Source organism: Homo sapiens, chromosome 2, assembly GCF_000001405.40.
Source record: "Homo sapiens chromosome 2, GRCh38.p14 Primary Assembly".
In the NCBI taxonomy this organism is placed as follows: Eukaryota; Metazoa; Chordata; class Mammalia; order Primates; family Hominidae; genus Homo; species Homo sapiens.
In genome coordinates this window covers 163,589,103-163,595,248 of record NC_000002.12, presented here as the reverse complement: position 1 = coordinate 163,595,248, position 6,146 = coordinate 163,589,103, and the positions used below count along the sequence as shown (strand labels likewise).

Genomic DNA, 6,146 nt, shown 5'->3' with positions numbered 1-6,146 from the left:
TTTGAAACACCATTGGCTTGCTATAATTCTTATGGGGGAAAGAGTTTTTTGTTGAATTTTTTATTTGAATAAAAGTGAGTCCAAATTAAACAAAAGAACTTGAAATGTTGGCTGCCTTGCCAACATAATGGAACTGACATAATTTTGTAGCAAATCATATTTCTGGAACCTGTAGAACATGACTCAGTTTGAGTGGACTGTCTCAGTTTTTCTAAACGTTAAAGACTTAGGTTTTTCTCTGAAAAAGAAAAAAAAAGAAGGCACAGTGATAAGAGAATCTAAAGTTATGTCAAACAAATTATGTTTTAGTTATTAATGGCTAGTTTGTAAATATCAAAGATCCATTTATTGTAGTGCTTGGAGCTGCATTTGCATGCTGATGAAATGCAAGTGGATAGCTGTGAACTATAGGGTTATCTCTAGTGCAGCAGTGGGGAGCTCCAGAATCAGACAGTTGAGCATCTGACCGACTCAAGAGTCCAAGCTGCAGACCTCTTCTATTCACTTTCTTTACAACAATTAAAATATGCAAAGTGATAATTTTCCTTAAGTAGCCTTAAATGTGCGATCTATTTAAATGTGAAGAAAATTGCCTGAAGCTGCTGGTGTGAGGGACAAAAAAGAATAAATTATGCAAATAGCAGAAAAGGACTCTACCACTTGAACGCCTAATTTTCCTGTAATAAGCATACTGTTTCATTTAATTTTTTGCCTCTTATTAAAAGTGACAGTTCTTTTGCACTGTCTGATGGTTATATCTGACACAAGCTAGGGAAATGACTGCTAGACTAAATGCTAAAGCATTTTGGTAGCTTTTTTAGATGATGGTTACATTCACAAAGTAATTATGCACTGAAGAGTAGAGAAATAAGGTTTAATTACACAGTAATCGCTTCTGATGGACACGGCAGAAGTGTGAACACCGCCAGACTGCAATCCATCAATGACAAACCCCTGGCCACTTTTAATTCCTCCTCATTTGCATCATAACCTCCGCACCAAGTTGCACAAATGCTGTTAAATGTTAATAGGAGCTGTCTCTCCACTCAAAATGAATGCTTAAGCTGTTTCATTTTTTTTCTCCTCCACCTCAGACCTTCAAAACCAGCTCCTCTCTGAGAGCAGGCATTAAGCACAGAGCATGGTGCGTGGTCACTGTTGTGCTAATTGGGAGCAACACTTAAAGTTTTATCTCTCAAGCGCTAATAATGCACACTGCTGACAAACCAGTGAATAAGTAATGTACTTGGAGGAGGGGGGGAAAGAAAGGCATGCCTAGAATGAAAAATGCAGTTGGGACCGTTGTTCAGTGACTAGCTATTTGATTAGGCCCTGTAGTCATATTTAATCCAGATCCTTAGGGAACATAGACAAAATTACATCTTCATCTCATCAAACATTCAGCCATATTTAAGCATTCAGCTGATCAAGCTTTTATTGTTTCTCTTGCAGCAACATGGAGACAATGTTTTCCTGCATTCTTCATTCCAGAAGCTGATGGAGGAAAGGCCCTATGAGCTGTGGGCTGGCTCTATAGGCCCCACTGTACTTTAGGGAATTCCAGTAGCAAAGGAATAAAATCATTTTAGTCACTATGCACTAATGTTTCCGTTGGTAAAACCTCTAGCCTTCAGTTCTATTTGTACAGTCTTTAATAGTCAACCTCATTTTTCTTATTTTGAAAAAAATGTTCTTCCCTCTACCTTGTCTTTAAACCCAGTCTATTTCCTGGGACAGGTCTACATCATTAAACTGCAGATGGTTCTTTTTCTATTAAGCAGCAGGTATCATTCTTGTCCTGACAGGAGGAGGCTCCACCTGCTGCCGGCCCACCAATACTTCCAGCTGACTGCTTTGCCGAACAGGAAAGGTAATTTGTAAGCAGTATGCTAAGTTTAACAGTAGACTATAAGAAGTGACAAAAGAGCCATTTTCTGCATGAAGATTGAGAATTATAAACACCTTTCGGTGCATAATAGTTAAGCCTTTATCACTTGAGGAGCTGCTGATAAGGTTAAGAACACTAGACAAACTGCTCATTAGTGGAAAGGTTTGCCTTTTACATTAAAGACCGCTGGGTACCGGAGTTCCTCCAGTGAGCAATACATCCCTGGCATTTGAAAAGAATGAGCTGATCCGTGTACATAAATGAATATGGAAAAGAAGACCTGGAATGTTCTAATGATATTAGTGAGGTTTTTCTTAAGCTTAGAGAATGATAAACCTGTTAAGTGTGTTCAAAAGCTGTGTGATCTGGTAGGTAAGGCCCTAGATTAGAAGTCATAAGACTTAAACTTTTCTGCATTTTACCATGGACAAGCTGTGTGACCTTGGGTAAGTAATTTACATTTCCTAAAAATGAAAATATATTATAAGATGATTCAAATATGGAATATCAGGATTCATTAGGTTGGATCAATAAATAATATAAATCTAGGCCAGGCACGGTAGCTCATGCCTGTAATCCCAACACTTTGGGAGGCCGAGGCAGGCGGATCACCTAAAGTCAGGGGTTCAAGACCAGCCTGGCCAACATGATGAAACTCCATTTCTACTAAAAATACAAAAATTGGCCGGACGTGGTGGTGCGTGCCTGTAGTTCCAGCTACTCAGAAGGCTGAGGCAGGAGAATGGCTTGAACCTGGGAGGCAGAGGTTGCAGTGAGCCGAGATTGCACCACTGCACTCCAGCCTGGGTAACAGACCAAGACTCCATCTCAAAAAAAATAAATAAAATAAAATAAATCAATAATATAAATCAGTTACAAATATCCCATATACTAATGTATTGATAATAAATATGGTGACAAAGGATTATTTAGGACCCAGTCATTCATTTTATTCTGGTGAGTTGGATTAGGAATTATAAATTGGAATTTATCCTATTCATTTTGAGACCCCTTGTATAACCAGAGGAATAAGATTGGTATTTCTATATACCTGCTATTTGGTTTCATATAAGTGGGAAATGGTAAAGATAACTTCCTTGGGGGTTATTTATCACATGCACTTATACTTTAAGCTTCTGAGATCCTATATAAAGTAATTTTAACTCTATTTTAAAGATGAAGAAATGGAAGCTCAGAGTTGACATAAATTGCACTAGGATGAATATGTTTGAGTAGCTACAATAGGGTTTGAATTCAGGTCTGATTTTAAAGTCTGCATGTTGAACCACGTTTTGGGATTGAGTTCCATTTATATAGAGAATAGCAATGCAAACTAAATCTGTTTCTGTTTCCATCTCTCTCTGGCTGTATGACTTTAGTCCTATTCATCAATCTTTCTTTCTTTTGCCTACTTAACATGTTTGTAAAATCCCATAAGGGAGCGCAAGGCTTAACTTCTATCACATTAGAAACAGCTCAGCCTACAGATGATATCAGGCCAATACTGAGGAGCTATCCTTTAAAAAAAAATACGGCTTTTGACTTAATTTGTTGAGATTAAGCATAACATGTAAAATCTGTGTACCCATCTGTAAAAATCTCAGGTACATAAATGGTGATATTCTTGCCACCTCTCAACAAAATATATTGTGAGCAGTATTCTGTTCAACATACGTGTACGTACATGTCACCCCAAGTATGCTTGTTTACCATTGAGGTAAAGTGTGCTGGCCTGAGGCAAAATTGCATTGGTGCTCACAATCACATTTTTGGAAACTTCTTTTCTTCTTTAGTAGTTTTTCCCTGCTCAGGCATGAAGGTAAGCCAATTATTTAAAGAAAAAAAAAAAAAAGTCCAAGAACATTCAGCACCAGTTCCTCATTGCTAGATCAGGTTAAAGAAGGAAGAGATGAAATAAAGATTTACAGAGATTTCCAGAAAGCTCTGATGAAGGAAGAGAGTGTGCAGCGGCAGAAGTAACGGTATTGGCAGGGAGAGATATATATGAGTATGCATGCATAGTGAAGGGAAAAGAAAAGCAAAAATATTTTTTTCTCTTATATGAGCTTTCTTTCTGATATATCAGTTACCTGTATTTTTATGCAAGCATCCCACCCAGCTTTTTTAAAAGCAAATTTTAGGCACTTCTGAGGTATGTCAGGATACTTTATGTCTCAGACATAAAGCCTTTCCTGTATGAATAAGTACAAGTCCCCATCCCAGCTGGTCTGTACTCCAGCAATCCATGTTTCAGAATCTATCAACAATAATCAAGTAATCAAGGTATTTTATTTTCCCTTGAACTGGAACTATAATAGACTCACAAGTTCATTTCTTCCCTCTTAAGTGACAATTGTGCTGTCAGCCTCCGGGTTAACCATTTATAGATTTGTTTCACAGAGATTTTGCATGGTCATGTAATTAATGCGATTATAATTTCTTGTCCAATGTCTATCTCCACCAGACTCTAAGCTGCTTTAAGTCAATCTGTCTTGTATACCCCTGTATTCCCAGTGCACAGCACAGTACCTTGAGCTCTTTAGGACACAGAAGCCATAAACAATCTTTCTAAGAAGGTGGTGGCAAGCAAAAGCAGGGAAATACTAAAGGATTTCTTAGTAAATTCCAACAGTGAAAAGAATGAGAAAGGGAAAGATATATGAAGATGCACTGAAAACCTGAGCTCTAATGATTTTAGGAAGAAAAATCAGTGATAAAGAAAACTCTGGCTTTGGGTAACTCACATCTAAGTCCCTTGTTTTTGTAACCATAGTGAATCGTAGTGCAACTTGTGAGTTTTGAGGTCTGAACTCTACATTGTAGGGTTAAAACTAGTTTATACATGAAAAGATTAAAAAAGAAGATGAAAACTATAAAAATACATGGTAAAAATTAAATTATTTATTTACTGTTTTTAATATAAATGACTCACCACTGATGCCTAAAAAGCATAGAGCAACAAACTTGGGAACCATGTCATCGTGTGTTAGATTAATTTTGAGGTTTCTTTTTTTTTAACACAAGACACAATTTTATATAGTCTGTTGCATATGTAGTATAATCATCCACACACATCTTCAAACTAGATATAAAATTAAGGGTAAGTTCGCATTCATGATTCCTAATTATAATGGAAAACTATTTGAATATAAGATGAATATTATCAATCTATAATATGGAGGCAATTTCTACAAACTGCATGCTATATGATAAAAGTATGCTATGAATTAATCTATAAGTTGTATTAATTCTATTCTCTTATACCAGCATCATAAAGCTTCCAGTGTACTTAGAAATTCCTGAATCAAAGGCACTGTACAAGTAGAAGGTGGTGCACATATTATTAACCTTTCTGCGCTTGTTTCCTCATCTGTAATATGGGGTTAATGATATTTCTGTACCTCATGAGAATGTTGTGTGAATTAATGTTTGTAAAGCCCTTTAAGATCCACGGATGAAAGATGCCATAGATGTCCAAAGGTGATCATATTATAGTTATTGAAATTGGAAACACCAATAATGCTGAGAACTGAATATATATTTGGTTTCAAGACACCCAGTATGTTATGAACCCACAGCACTTACAGGGTTACTGCTTCAAAATTAGTGTTTTGATATACATAGAATAAGTCCTAAAGAGATACTACATGTAGGGTATAAACCAAATGGATGTAATTCGTTCATAGCTGGCAAAAACACAGAGCCCACATTATTTCTATGTTCTTTTATAGAAAGTGGTGCAGTAGAATGTACTGGATCTGTACTTAAAATTATGTAATGTCAGAATGGTCTATTTAGAAAGAGAATCAATAAATAACATGTTAAAAATGCTAACACGATTTGAGGAAATTTTCATTTGTACTCCTCTTATTACTGCTGTATTTTTTTCATTTACATTTTCGGCCCACTTGAATAGTTTATAACTATTAAGTACAAAATACCTAATAGCAATCTTTTTGAAAAAGAAAAGTAATACAAATTATCAGTTGTTACTGTTTGTCTGAACAAATTTTTATGTGACTATTAAATATTTTTGTAAAAGTTTAAAAAGATATTTTACTTACGCACTATAATACAAAAAGGAGAAGGAAACAAGTTTTTTCCAATACTGTAGCCTTTATTTATTTATTTATTTATTTATTTATTTTTTGAGACTGAGTCTCGCTCTGTCGCCCAGGCTGGAGTGCAATGGCGCAACCTCAGCTCACTGCAACCTCCACCTCCTGAGTTCAATCGATTCTCCTGCCTCAGCCTCCCA

At 36.2% G+C, this 6,146-nt stretch overlaps 1 annotated feature.

Annotated features, from left to right (window-relative positions):
- Nucleotides 1-1,615: an enhancer, noted in NCBI's record as "VISTA enhancer hs170". NCBI's record gives its function as "enhancer in: forebrain[5/6]" and the evidence as "EXISTENCE:transgenic organism evidence [ECO:0001131][PMID:17130149]".